Genomic DNA, 14,029 nt, shown 5'->3' on the forward strand with positions numbered 1-14,029 from the left:
GCCCAGAGGCAAAGACCCACAGGACAGAGGGTCAGTCCCAGGCTGTGGATCCTAACTAAGAAACTCCTGCTGGATTTTGCCCAGCTCCATTTCCAAACTATTTTGGGTTATTGACTTCTTTATCCCCTCCATGTTCCCTCATTTTGAACTAGAATCACTGTAGTGGTTATTCTATGTCTGTCCCATCATTTCACATTAGGGGCAGATAAGCTGTTTGTTCAGTTTCACAGGTCGACAGAGGTAAGGGAATTATGTCAAGGATCTGCACTTAATGGACACTCTCGGAAGCCTCATTCACACCTGGTGTGGATGTTTTAGATGGGATTTTAAACTTTTGATCTGATGTGGTCTACATGACATTTTTCATGTTGAACTAATGCTTTAATGACATGAAATCTGGAAACCTCAGGGGAGAGGGTAAATGCACTTTGCAGATGGGGGAATGTGAGTGTCCTACTGTGGTAAATGGAATTTCTGAAATGGTCCCCAAACATGCCACACCCTTGTCTCTAAAGCCTCTTAAGGTGATGAGACACCATTCCTGTGACTATGTTGTTATATGCCAGTTATATGACTTTAAGATGGTGAGGTTACCGCATGAACTGGATCTAATCACATCACTCCATACATGACAGAGCTTTGTGTGGCTGGTTGGAGAAGATGAAGTCAGAGAAGGTGGGAGCTTGAGAAGGACTCCATGAGTTGTTATTGGTTGAAAGATGAAACAGACAGGTAAGGAGGAAAGCACGTGGCCTCTGGAGTCAGAGTAGACTGTCTCCCCGCTGACAGCCAGCACAGAAAAAGGGCCCTCAGTCCCCCACAAACTAGAATAGGAACTCTTTCATTATCTGTAGTGAACCTGGAAAAATAGCTTGAGCTCTAGGAAAAAAACACAGCCAGCCCATTCCCGGATTTTAGCCTCACATGACTCTGATCAGAGAACCCGGCCACTTCATTCCAGACTTCTGTGGTTTCAAACCACTGGTTTGTGGTAATGTGATAATAGGCAGCAAGAGAAAACTAGTACAGGTGCCTGTCTCTCCTCTTGAATTTCAATTTCAGATAAATGTATGCTAACCCTCTAAGAGAAAAAAATCAATCAACCAATCAATGAAAGAACTACAGTAAAAATATTGCCCTCACCTTTATGTGGCTGTTCCAGAGCCCTTGCCACCTGAAGAAGACAATGAGGGGTATTTCAGGCACTTGAGGAGTGTGGCTTTACTATTATCAATCACATTTCTGGAAGAATAAAAATGGTTCAGTGAAGGGATGGGTTGCCCCTCCACACCTGTGGGCATTTCTCATTAGGTGGAAGGAGAGACTTGGAAAAGAAAGAGACACAGAGACAAAGTACAGAGAAAGAAAAATGGGCCCAGGGGACCGGCGTTCAGCATACAGAGGACCCATGCCGGCACTGGCCTCTGAGTTCCCTTAGTATTTATTGATCATTATCGGGCATTTCTGGAGAGGGGGATGTGGCAGGACAATAGGATAATAGTGGAGAGAAGATCAGCAGGTAAACACGTGAACAAATGTCTCTGCATCATAAACAAGGTAAAGAAAAAAGTGCTGTGCTTTTGATGTGCATATACAGAAACATCTCAATGCCTTAAAGAGCAGTATTGCTGCCAGCATGTCCCACCTCCAGTCCTAAGGCGGTTTTCTCCTATCTCAGTAGATGGAATATACAATCGGGCTTTACACCGAGACATTCCATTACCCAGGGACGAGCAGGAGACAGATGCCTTCCTCTTATCTCAACTGCAAAGAGGCCTTCCTTCCTCTTTTACTAATCCTCCTCAGCACAGACCCTTTATGGGTGTCGGGCTGGGGGACAGTCAGGTCTTTCCCTTCCCACGAGGCTGTATTTCAGACTATCACATGGGGAGAAACCTTGGACAATACCTGGCTTTCCTAGGCAGAGGACCCTGCAGTCTTCCGCAGTGTAGTGTGCCTCTGGGTACTTGAGATTAGGGAGTGGTGATGACTCTTAACAAGCATGCTGCCTTCAAGCATTTGTTTAACAAAGCACACCCTGAACAGCCCTTAATCCATTTAACCCTGAGTTGACACAGCCCATGTCTTAGGGAGCACAGGGTTGGGGGTAGGGTTACAGATTAACAGCGTCTCAAGGCAAAAGAATTTTTCTTAGTACAGAACAAAATGGAGTCTCTTATGTCTACTTCTTCCTACACAGACACAGTAACAATCTGATCTCTCTTTCTTTTCCCCACAGTTCAGGTCAGGCCGTGGCTCGTGTCTGTAATCCTAGCACTTTGAGAGGCCAAGGCAGGTGGATCACTTGAGGTCAAGAGTTAGAGACCAACCTGGCCAACATGAAGAAACCCTGTCTCTACCAAAAATACAAACATTAGCCAGGTGCGGTGGCAGGCGCCTGTAATCCCAGCTATTCAGGAGGCTGAGGCAGGAGAATCACTTGAACTCAGGAGGTGGAGGTTGCAGTGAGCTGAGATGGCGCCGTTGCATTCGAGCCCAAGGAAAAGAGAAATAACTCCATCTCCAAAAGAAAAGATAAAATAAAGACGGTTCACTACTTAACTCCAAATATTATTATGTGAAAATGTATCATCTCAATTTTAATAGCAGATTTTAAAAAATTCCTTTTCTTGTGCTCACCAGACAAGGTTTGGTAACAAATACCAGTCACCAGCACAGATGAACCAATTCAAGGAGAGCCATAAACAGGACTACTATTATGTTTCCCCAAAAACCATCCCTAGAATGCAATCTCTTCTCTACTTGTCACAAAACGAACACAATAGTCCACTATATAAAGTCCCAAACACAGGAAAATGTAAATATAATGAAATCTGCTTTCCAAATGTTTATTCTATTCAGACCCAGTCATGGGGACCAGGGATTAGGAAATGACTACAAACAGGTTCAAGGGAATTTGGGAAGTGACAAAATATGCTGAAGTAGAACTCTGCTGATGGCTGCACAATTCGATAAATCAACTTACATCATTGAGTTGTACATTAACAATGGGGGACTTTTATAACAAGTAATTCTTTAAACAAACTTTTAGGTTTCTATTTCAACATGGAAAGAGCTAGGCAGTCATCACTTGTCCTCACAGCTAGAAAAAAGCTGAACAAACTGAAAGTCAACCCTTCTAGGGTGGATCAGAGAATTGAGGTCACAGGGAAAACTGCCACCTTAAAAATGAGAAACACAGGCTAACACACAAGGAGTCACAGCTCACAGGGAAGAGAAGCTACTGGGGACAGCAAGTGGGAGGAGCACTTAAATGATATTGACAGATTACTAGAAGCTGAGGGTAGCCTGGCTAGAACATTAAAAACACCTTGAAGACCAGACTAAGGGGGAATCTCACACATTTCCAAGTGTTACTACAATGATCTCAACCAGGTTCTCATGATGAAGTTCAGAAAAACTCCCTGAGGTTTGGCACTACCAACTTCAGGACTTACATTAAGCTACAGTAACCCAAATAGTGTGAAGTTGGTGAAAAGAGAAAACACACACATATAGATGCATGGAAAAGAATACGGAGCCCAGAAGCAGGCCTACATACAGTCCACTGATCTTCCATGGAGGTTTAGAGACAATTTAAAACAGCAAAGATAGCCTTTCCAACTAGTGGTGCTAGAACAGCTGGACAACCACATGCAAAAAAATAAATAAATCCAGGTATGCATGTTATATACCCTTTATAAAATAAATCTTACACGTAAATGTAAGGTGCAAAACCATAAGAATCCTAAGAGATAAAATAGGAGAAAATCTGAGGGATCCTGGGTTCAATGATGGCTTCTTAGATACAAAACCAAAAGCACAATCTACTAATGAAAAAAAAATTAAGTTGAGCCTCATTAAAATTAAAAACTTCTGTTGTGTGAAAGACACTGTTAAGAGAATGGAAAAAGCAAGTCACAGACTGGGAGAAAATATTTACAAAATAATCTGATGGAAAAACTGCTGTCCAAAATATATGAAGAATTCTGAGAACTAAACAACACAAAGCAAAAAAAAAAAAAAAAAAGGTGAAAGATCTGAACACCTCATTAATAAGATATACAGATGGCAAATAAGCATATGAGAAAGATGTTCAAAATCATTTGTTGTGAGGGAATTGCACATTAAAACAACGAGATATCACTGTAAACCTATCAGAATGGCTAAAACACAAAACGGTGAACACACCAAATGCTGTCGAAGATGAGGAACAACCAGAACTCTCCATAGCTAGTGGAAATCAAAAGTGTACAGTCACTTTGGAAAACTTAAGTTCATTCAAAATCCTGCACATAAGTACTTGCAGCAATTTTATCATAATTGTCAAAACTTGGAAGTACCCAAGACGTCTTTCACCAAGTGAATGAATAAACAAACTGTGTTGTAGCCATACAATGAAATCTGATTCAGTGATTTTACAAAACAAGCTGTCAAGTCATGAAAAGACGTGGAGGAACTTAAAAGTACATAATGCTAGAAAGAAGCCAGTCTGGAAACCTACATACTGTAATTCCAACTCTAGGACATTCTTGGAAAGTCAAAAAGATAGAAGTAGTAAAATGATGAGTGGTTGTCAGGGGTGGAGGAGAGGAGGAGGCACGAAATGGTGAAGTACAGGGAATTTTCAGCAGTGAAACTATTTTGCATGATGCTGTATTGGGGATTTAGGACATTACATAATTGCCAAAACCCATAATCTGTGAAACTCAAAGAATGAACTCTAGTGTAAACTATGGACTTTAGTTGATAATGATGTATCAATAGTGGTTCATCAATTGTAACGAATGGACCACACTAATACAACATACTAATAGGGGAAACTGTGTGCTGGAGGACAGGGGAGCCTAGGAGAACTCTCTGTACTATCCACTCCATTTTTCTGTAAACCTAGAACTGTTCTAAAAAATAACATCTATTACTTTTTTTTAATTAGGATGCAGCAGCCCCATACCAAGGTTTTGGTGGCATCCTGTTATTGTGTGGTTAGTACTTGGCATTGAAGTGCACCAACCTGGAGTCAGAGCAGTTGGAGATTTCAATGCCTGTGCCATTTACCTCTAACCCTGGGGTGCCCCCGGAACACAGATAGCAGATCAGTTAGGCAGAAGCAGCCTCAGTCATCTAGACAGTGCAGGGTTCTGGTAAGGACAGGTGCAAACCATCTAGGTGGGCAGAACTTGGTGATGACTAGGAACCACTGAGACTCAGCAGCTGCCCCAGTGGCACCCACAAATCAGAGGAGGAGGAGGCTGGGAGGACCTAAGGGCTACAGGACGAGCTCCCTGCCTACAAGACAGAAGCAGCTCCAGAGGTTTTGGTAAGTAATGTAGATTTCAGTGCAGTGTGGTCTATTTAAAAAAGTAGAACAAAAAGGAAAGAAAAAGAGAGAACATGAGAGACAAAGAAAAAGAAAAGAAGAAAGGAAGAAAGGAAAGAATGGAGGGAGGGAAGGAAGGAGGAAGGGAGGAAGGAAGGAAGGAAGGAAGGGAGGGAGGGTGGAAGGGAAGGAGGGAGGGAAAGAATAAAGAGAGAGAGAAAAAGAGTGGGAGAGAAGTAGGGAAGGGAGAGAAGTAGGGAAGGAAGGAAGGAAGGAAATGAACAAATTTACATGAAGATGAGAACATCCAGGGGAACTTACACCACCAGTATTTTCCATTAACAGGAACACGCTAACTAGTTATTGGAGAGAGACGCACTACTGTAAAACTATATACTGTTTCCATGGGGTACAACCCCTTCTTCCTCCTCTGAAACACATTATTCCTCTGGCCCACTGTTGCCAGAAACACTGAGTCTTGTCTTTGGATAAGTTCTGGTGCCCCAAAGAAAGAGATGAGACAGTGGATCCCAGAACACCAGGCCGCAACCTTCCCTGCTGCTCCTTGTCCACTCCAGAAGCTGCCCAGCTGCAGGTGGGGGCCTCAGCCCCTGGGTCTGACATCGTCCATTTGTCATTCTCACTGGACTTCCCTCCTTGCACTGGCTCCCACTCCCCCAGGACCTGGTGGACGGCCACGTGAGAAGGATACAAACAGGCCATGCCCCTTTCTTTCTCCCCCTCTCAATGCCTGCAGTGGTGGGTTCCATGGGGTAGTGACCTGAGATTTACTCGTTATGGGGTCTCTAGCCCAGAGCAGGGCATGGTACCTAATAGTCACCCCATGAATGCTCAGTGAAAGAAGGCGTCCACCACAAGGTCCTGGGGAACCAAGAATTCCACTGTGGCCCATAAATTCTAAGTCCCACAGGATTCTGGAATGGGAGATGGGAACGGCCTTCAAAAGTGGCCTCTCTTTTAACCCATTATACTGGCAACTGAGCCATGTTTCCCCATCCTGGACACATCTAGAGGGCACTGCCTAAAACCACACACATCTCCCCACCCAGGACAGTGCAGGGCCTTAGCCTGGGGGATGCAGGTGGACAGGGAGGGGGTGAGCCATGAAAGCTGAAGAGGAGAAAGCAGGTGAAAGGGGACGGCAGGGTGGAAACAAGAGATGGAAATGGGGGCAGAGAATGGGGGGTAAGAGGGGAAGAGCAAGGAGTGGGATGCAGATCTAGCTACTAAGGAAAAGTCCTGGAGAGAACACTGTCCTCTCCTGAAGTAAAATCACTTCCACCTGACAACGGCACTGCAGGTCGAGGGTGGCACACGCTGTGAATATTTGTTCATTCACTTAACAAATATTAATTCAGTATCTGTTTCATGCCAGGTAAGGCCCTGCGATGTTTAGGGCCCTTGGCATCTTCCCTTCACATCTGAGTCATAATAGAAAAAGGACTCTCTGACTCCATCGAGCTGGCAATGCCTCAGGGTTTTTACCTGTGGGATCTGGCAGCTCTTCATTTGGCCCACACCGTGTGAGGTTGCTCTTGGTGCACCGAATGGGGAAGTTTCTACATCAGTACCTCGGAGAGTCCACTGGAAGCCCTGGACAGTGGGAATTGGTGGCACCCCCAGCATGGAGGCCAAGAACACACAGCACTGAAGCTCCAGGACACCCTCAGGAGGACGGTAAGGGACGGTAAGGTGAGAGCCTGGGTCACCAGGAACCTTCGCCTGCATCTAAACAGGATTTGCTTTCAGATTGCCTATGAGATAAAAGAGAGAAATCATGGTTAATATTGAGATTTGGGGCTTCGGCAACTTGAAGGATGGAGCTGCCGTTTACGGAGACTGGGAAGACCCAGGGAGGAGCAGGTTGAAAGGTGGTGGGGAACTAGAATTGTTTGGGTTCCTGTCATATGTAATCAACAGTCCTCACCAGCCTCGGCAACATAGTAAGACCCCATCTCTGAAAATAAAAAATGAAAAATTGGCCCAGCATGGTGGCACACACTTGTAGTCTCAGCTACTCGGAAGGTTGAGGCAGGAGGATTCCTTGAGCCTTGAATTAGAGGTTAGTGAGCTATGATGGCACCACTGAACTCCAGCCTGGGGGAAAAAAAAATAAAGAGTCCTGACTAAATACTTGAGTAGCCAGGGAAGTTTTCACCAAGTAATACTTGAGGCAGATCTTAGTGAACAAGAATTTGATTCTTTCTGTTAGGGAATTAAGAGTGTGTGGGTGTAGTTAATGCTTCTTTGGAATCTCATCTACTGGTCTATCTGTACACGTATATTCTACAGGCTATCTCGCTGAGCTTTCGCTAGGTTATGCTACAGTAACAAAAGCCCCAAAATCTTAGCAGCAACACATACAAAGGTTTATTTTTCATTGACATTTCCTTTTATGTCAGGTTGACTGTGACTCTGCTGTATACAAGCTATTTTATTTGTTAGATGGTGAAAACTGTGACACTTGGAGATTGTTGAATATGGTATATTAGTATGTTCATTCATTCATTCATTTAACAAATATTTATTCAATATCTGTTTCATGCCAGGCAAGGTCAAGTACTGAGAATACAATGGTGAATAAGAGACAAAATCTCAAATTTCCAGGAGCTTATGTTGAAAATGAGATTGAACACATACAAAATAATCATAATAACAACAATGAATACTATATTCATAAATAATAGCTGTTAAGAGATTTTAGTAAATCTTTTAAATTAGAAAAACATAAAAATCATTAAAACTAAAATGGCCAGCGGTGATGGCTTATGCCTGTAATCCCAACACTTTGAGATGCCAAGGTGGGAGGATCATTTGAGCCCAGGAGTTTGAAACCAGTCTGGGCACTACAGGAAAACCCTGTCTACAAAAAATAGAAAATTAGCCGGGCATAGTGGTGCATGCCTGTAGACCCAGCTACTAAGGAAGCTGAGGTGGGCAGACTGCTTGAGCCTGAGAGGTCAAGGCTGCAGAGACCCATGATCGTACCACTCCACTCCAGCCTGGGCAACAGAGCGAGACACTGTCTCAAGAAAAAAAAAAAAAATGGTTCGATGTAGTCCTAAAACTATTATGTAGAATACTATTGTTTACATCATATCACGTCGGCCCTTTAAATGGCTTAACGCTTATTTAGGTACGATCCATAAAGTTTTCCTGGTAATTAAGTATACCTAAGAACAATGAAGTATAAAAGAGTTACTGCCTTGACAGGAAGATTGTAAAAATTGTAAAAAGATAAATAAATAAAGAGTCAAAACTGTAGCTCTGTGAGGCTCAAATAACATCTAATTCAAGTCACAATGAACATCTAGCAATCACTGTGAACACCACATACTTCCCTTAATACATTTTCCCTGAATGCCCAACACATCTGAATTACCAACACCCGTATGTAGCCAAGAAACTGACAATCATTTATAAATTATCACCTATGACTCCATCTGCTCTATGCACTTATTTTTTAAATTTTACTCATTTATTTATTATTTTTATTTTTTGTAGAGATGGGATCTCACTATATTGCCCAGGTTGGTCCAGAAACAGAAACAGACCCACACTAATTTCATAAATTGGATGACCATGCAGTCATCCGATTTAAGAAAAAAAGTGCCAAACAGTGCAGAAGGAAAAGGATAGTCTTTTCAATAAATGGTGCTGGATCAAGCAGACACATCCATGTAGTAAAAAGTGAATCACAGCCGGGTGGGGTGGCTCATGCCTGTAATCCCCACACTCTGGGAGGCTTAAGTGGGAAGATTACTTGAGCCCAACAGTTTGAGACCAACCTGGGAAACATGTTGAATCCCCATCTCTACAAAAAGTATGAAAATTAAGCCAGGCATGGTGGCACACTCCTATAGTCGCAGCTACTCAGGAGGCTGAGGTGGGAGGATCGCTTGAGCCAGGAGGTGGAGGTTGCAGTGAGCTGAGATCCTGCCACGGCACTCTAGCCTGGGCAATAGAGTGAGGCCCTGTCTGAAAAAAAAAAAAAGAAATGCAAAAACTAAAATAAAATTGCTATAAGGTTAACACAGAAAAATGTGTTCATACTCCTAGGTTAGGCATTGATTTCTTAAACAGGACACAAAAAGCAGTAACCATAAAGGAAAAGATTGATAAAGTATAATTTCATTAAAATTAAGAATCTCAGGCTGGGTGCAGTGGCTCATGCCTGTAATCCCAACACTTTGGGAGGCCGAGGCAGATGTCTCACCCGAGCCTAGGAATTCCAGACCAGCCTATGCAATGTGGCAAAACCCCATCTCTACTAAAAATACAGAAAAGAGCTGAGTGTGGTGGTGCTCACCTGTAGGTCCCAGCTACTTGGGGGCTGAGGCAGGAGGATCACCTGAGCCTTGGGAGGTCAAGGTTGTGGTCAGCTGTGATTGTGCCACTGCACTCCAGCCTGGGCAACAGAGTGAGATCTTGTCTCAAAAAGAAAAAAAAAAGTTAGAGAATCTCCATTCATGAATAAGCACCATTAAAAGAGCGAAAAGGCAAGCTACAGATTGAAAAAAGGGAAATGCAATACATATATATCGTAGAAAGGACACATATCCGGAAAAAAGTATTACAAATCAACAGAAAAACAAGCATATCAATGAAAACTGGATAAAAAGATTTAACAGGCACTTCACAAAAGAGGACACACAAATGACAATAAAAGATACTCAATCTCAATACCAGGAAAATGCAAAATGAAATCACACTGATACATTACTGCACCCCTACTAGAATGGCAAAATAATTTTTAACTGACAGGCATCAGCAAGGATGTGGGGTAACCAGAATATCCCTGCTAAATGGTACAACCACTTTGGGAAAACGTTCAACAGTATGTAATACTAAGTTTTATCATTCATATACCTCTAAAACCAACAATGCCACTCCTACAAATATACCCCAGTCTAGTAATGCTCTATTTCTTGATCTGTGGTGGTTCACTTGGTAAAAATTCATTACCTGTACTTTTTTTTTTTTTTTTTTTTTTGGAGACAGGGTCTCACTCTGCCACCCAGGCGGGAGTGCACTGCCATGATCACGGCTCACTGCAATCTCAACCTCCTGGGCTCTGGTGATCCTCCCACCTCAGCCTACCAGGTAGCTGGGACTACAGGCACACACCACCACACACAGCTAACTTTTGTAATTTTAGTAGAGATAGGGTTTTGGCACGTTGCCCAGGCTGGTCTGGAAATCCTGGGCTCAAGTGATCCGCCCACCTTGGCGTCCCAAAGTGCTGGGATTACAGGTGTGATCTACCGCGCCCGGACCACCTGCACATTTAAAATTGTGAACCTCTCTGTATACTTCAGTAACTTTTCAAAGATTTCTTTGACACAAAGTTCTCAGAAATCTTAAAGCTAGCATTTCACAACAGAAAAAAAGAGCTTCTGGTTCACTGGTGAAATTTTACTAATAAAATTTAAAAACAAAAAGCTACTAACACATATCAGCTCAGAACAAAGACTAAACACTACCAGCAGATCTTTCCTTTAACCTCGTGAAGCACTGGGATTCATTCTTTCGGCAAAGAAAGGATGAACAACACTGTAACCCAAAGAAAAGATACCACTGCAAGAAAAGACTTCTTTTCGAAAGCAGCTCTAGCAGCAAAAGATAGGAGGAAAGCAAGGAAACCATGCCAAACGTCTTGGTTAACTCTTCGGAGAAAGGACGCCAAATGAGAAGATCTAACAAGCCAGAAAGACAGATACAGGGAAATCACAGCAACTCTTTGGAGTGCAAACACCAACCCCACAATCCAACCTACCGGAAATCCTGCGGTGAATTAGAGGCCTGCCCCGCTAGTCATGAGGTGATTCAGTGACGGCTACAAACGCTCCTCATGTGCATCCTGGACTTGGTACACCCGGCTTGCCCATCACCAGCCTGGAGAAACCGCCAGGAGCAGAATCCCGGAGGCCAATAAAGACCCCAACTTTGCAAGTCAGGGGCGCGAGTGGTCTCGCTTCTCAGGTCCCCAGAGGCAACCGATTTCTGGCCTCGAGGGTGGGGTGCGGGGTCAGGGTCCTCCACAGGATACACGAGGACGTGCCCCCGAAGCTGCTCGTCCCTCCACCCCCTGGGATGCCACAGAACACCCGCCAGCGAGTTTCTTCCCCAGCGCCCAAGAGATGAGGGCTGCGGGCGGCAGCGGCAAGCGAGGAATCGAACGCATGGAACTTAAGCCCCGGCGGGGCCGGAACACACGCCCTCCCAACCCCCCACCCCGCCTCGCCCTCCGTCGCTCGCAACAAAGCTTGCGACAGCCGCAGCTCGACCCAGCTGTGTACCCGCGGGTCCCGGACTCACCGCCCGCCCGGCCTGGCGCGGCGCCTTCACCTCGGAAACGCTGGGTGGACTTCGCTGTAAACCGTAACTTCCCATCCAGACGGCAGCCGCGCCGCCGCGCCTCGGCCCGCTCCTGGCGCCACAGGTCGCCCGTCCCGCGTTCCCAAAAGCACCGCGTTCACTCAGAAGCTCACGCTGCCTCGCGACGCTCACCTACCCCTCCCAATATCGCCGCTGTCTCAACCGCCGCCCAGCCCATAGCCTGCGGCCAGCTGGATCCTCAGGGTCCCGCTCGGCGCGTCAGGAGAGCCCAAGGCGCAGGCGCAGCGGGGCCTTAAAGGTACATGGCCGCCTCTGCGGCACAGCGGGTTCGCGCGGGCCAGGAAAAGGAGTAACCGAGCGGATAGACAGAGTGCAGCAGAGACCGGGAAATCCCTCTCTCCCCTCCGCCTCTCTTTTAAAGCACCAGCCCTTGACCCTACAAATCGCTGATTTCCCGGGCCACTTGAACTGCCCCTGCCAGGTTAAAGGGGCAGAAGACACACCCCCTCGGGGGCCCGGAGCGACCCCGCGCTTAGGACTGCAGGCCTGGTGCTGCAGCACCGCCCCCGAGTCTGACTTCCAGGCCCGGGCATGGGGTGCAGACGCGCAGACGTGGGAAGGCAACCCCCAGCTCCCCCGAGAGGTGGCCTTAGGTCACTCGCAAAAACAATAACCCACATGTCAGTGGGACTTGTAGTGATTTTCTAATTTAAATTAATAACAGATTTTGCAGATGGGCTTCCACTGAAATAAGCCTTTGAGAAAAAGAAAAACTTTTTCAACAAGATTAGGAAATACCAAGAAATAGGAAGTAAAGCCATGCCGTCCACCCAGCTAACAGCTTTGAAAACTTGAAATTTTATCTAAGGCAAATGCTTGCATAACTTTAGGTAGTGCCATTATTATTATTGTTATTATTATTATTATTATTATTATTTGAAACGGAGTCTTGCACTGTCGCATGCAGTGATGCCATCTCGGCTCACTGCAACCTCCGCCTCTTGGGTTCAAGTGATTCTCCTGTCTCAGCCTCCCGAGTAGCTGGGACCACAGGCCCTCGCCACCACGCTCGGCTAATTTTTGTATTTTTAGTAGAGACGGGGCTTCACCATGTTAGCCAGGCTGGTCTCGAACTCGTGACCTCAGGTGATCCACCAGGCTTACCCTCTCAAAGTGCTGGGATTACAAGCATGAGCCACCCACTGGGCAAGGCCTGCCTGGAAATAATCGTGAGAAATAAACTCACCCGTCCAAACCCAAAGAATGGACTCCAAGACCCGGAAAACAGCAGAAGTGCGACTTATTATTAATGACAGTCTTGCAAGATCGGGTGTCTGGTAGGCAGGCACACCCAGTAGGCTTACAACAAGCAATTTATCCCCTAGTGTGGAAGTGCCTCCCCCGGTTCCTCATAGGCTGAGTACTATGGGGTCACAGTATTCCCGGATGTCGCCTATTGGATCTTGGGTTGGGACTTTTAGGTTGTTGTTTTTTTTTTTAGGGTTGTCTCCCTGTATTTTGTTGCAGCCCATAATGCATTGCAATCATGGTCAGCTCGGGGGCTTTTCAAGTATTAGACTTATGACCTGGGCAGTCAGGCAAGCTGATAAGAATAGATGTAGCGAACTATTTTGCAGGCTAGTAAATGTCCATTCTAGACTAAACTCTTTGGTTTGGACAAGGCAGCTAAGGTGGGGGAGTGGGGGTGGGCAACAAGCAGGCACCAGCTATTAAAGCAGTGGCCTAGTATATTCTGTTCTTCCATAGTTTGCGGGCCCAAGCCTAACTTCCTACAATAATAATTATATACAAAAGTTTTTAAAAGGGATAAAAGAAAAGAGGGGATGTCTCAAATGAATACACTTAAGCTCCCCCCTCAAGAAACAAGAAAAAAGCAGGTAAAAGAAACCTAAAGCAGGCCAGGCACGGTGGCTCACGCCGGTAATACGAGCACTTTGGGAGGCCAAGGTGGGTGGATCACCTGAGGTGAGGAGTTTGAAACGAGCCTGGCCAACAAGGCAAAACCCCGTCTCTACCAAAAATACAAAAAAATTAGCTGGGCATGGTAGCAGCCACCTGTAATCCCAGCTATTCTGGAGGCTGAGGAAGGAGAATCGCTTGAACCCGGGAGGTGGAGGTTGCAGTGAGCTGAGATCGCACCACTGCACTCCGGCCTGCACCATGGGAATGAGACTGATTCTACAAAAAAAAAAAAAAAAACCTAAAGCAAATGGAAGGAAATAATACAGATAATAGCAGAAATCAATGGCATTGAAAACAGAAAAAAACAAAAGGGGAAACTAGTGAAAATAAAGCTGTCTCTTTGAAAAGATCAATAAACTTGACAAA

General features: G+C 45.1%; 1 protein-coding gene across 23 annotated transcripts in view, besides 1 other annotated feature; it reads right to left on the reverse strand.

Moving 5' to 3' along the window:
• The window catches only part of NBPF9 (NBPF member 9), a 51,366-nt gene extending 39,426 nt beyond the window's left edge, over positions 1-11,940 (reverse strand). For 6 of the 23 annotated variants that reach the window (NM_001388382.1, NM_001388384.1, NM_001277444.2 and 3 more), the window contains exons 1-4: positions 11,660-11,940; positions 11,118-11,236; positions 9,651-9,768; positions 6,827-7,095 (exon numbers count right to left, since the gene is read on the reverse strand). The gene's annotated coding sequence lies outside the window, so the exon portion shown is untranslated. The other 17 variants (NM_001388371.1, NM_001037675.4, NM_001388366.1 and 14 more) reach the window with 10 other exon arrangements.
• Positions 11,859-11,978: a silencer, noted in NCBI's record as "silent region_1288". NCBI's record gives its function as "represses an Ori minimal core promoter by ATAC-STARR-seq in GM12878 lymphoblastoid cells {active_cell/tissue: GM12878}" and the evidence as "EXISTENCE:reporter gene assay evidence [ECO:0000049][PMID:35858748]".

The sequence above is a fragment of the Homo sapiens genome, chromosome 1 (assembly GCF_000001405.40).
Source record: "Homo sapiens chromosome 1, GRCh38.p14 Primary Assembly".
Classification (NCBI taxonomy): domain Eukaryota; kingdom Metazoa; phylum Chordata; class Mammalia; order Primates; family Hominidae; genus Homo; species Homo sapiens.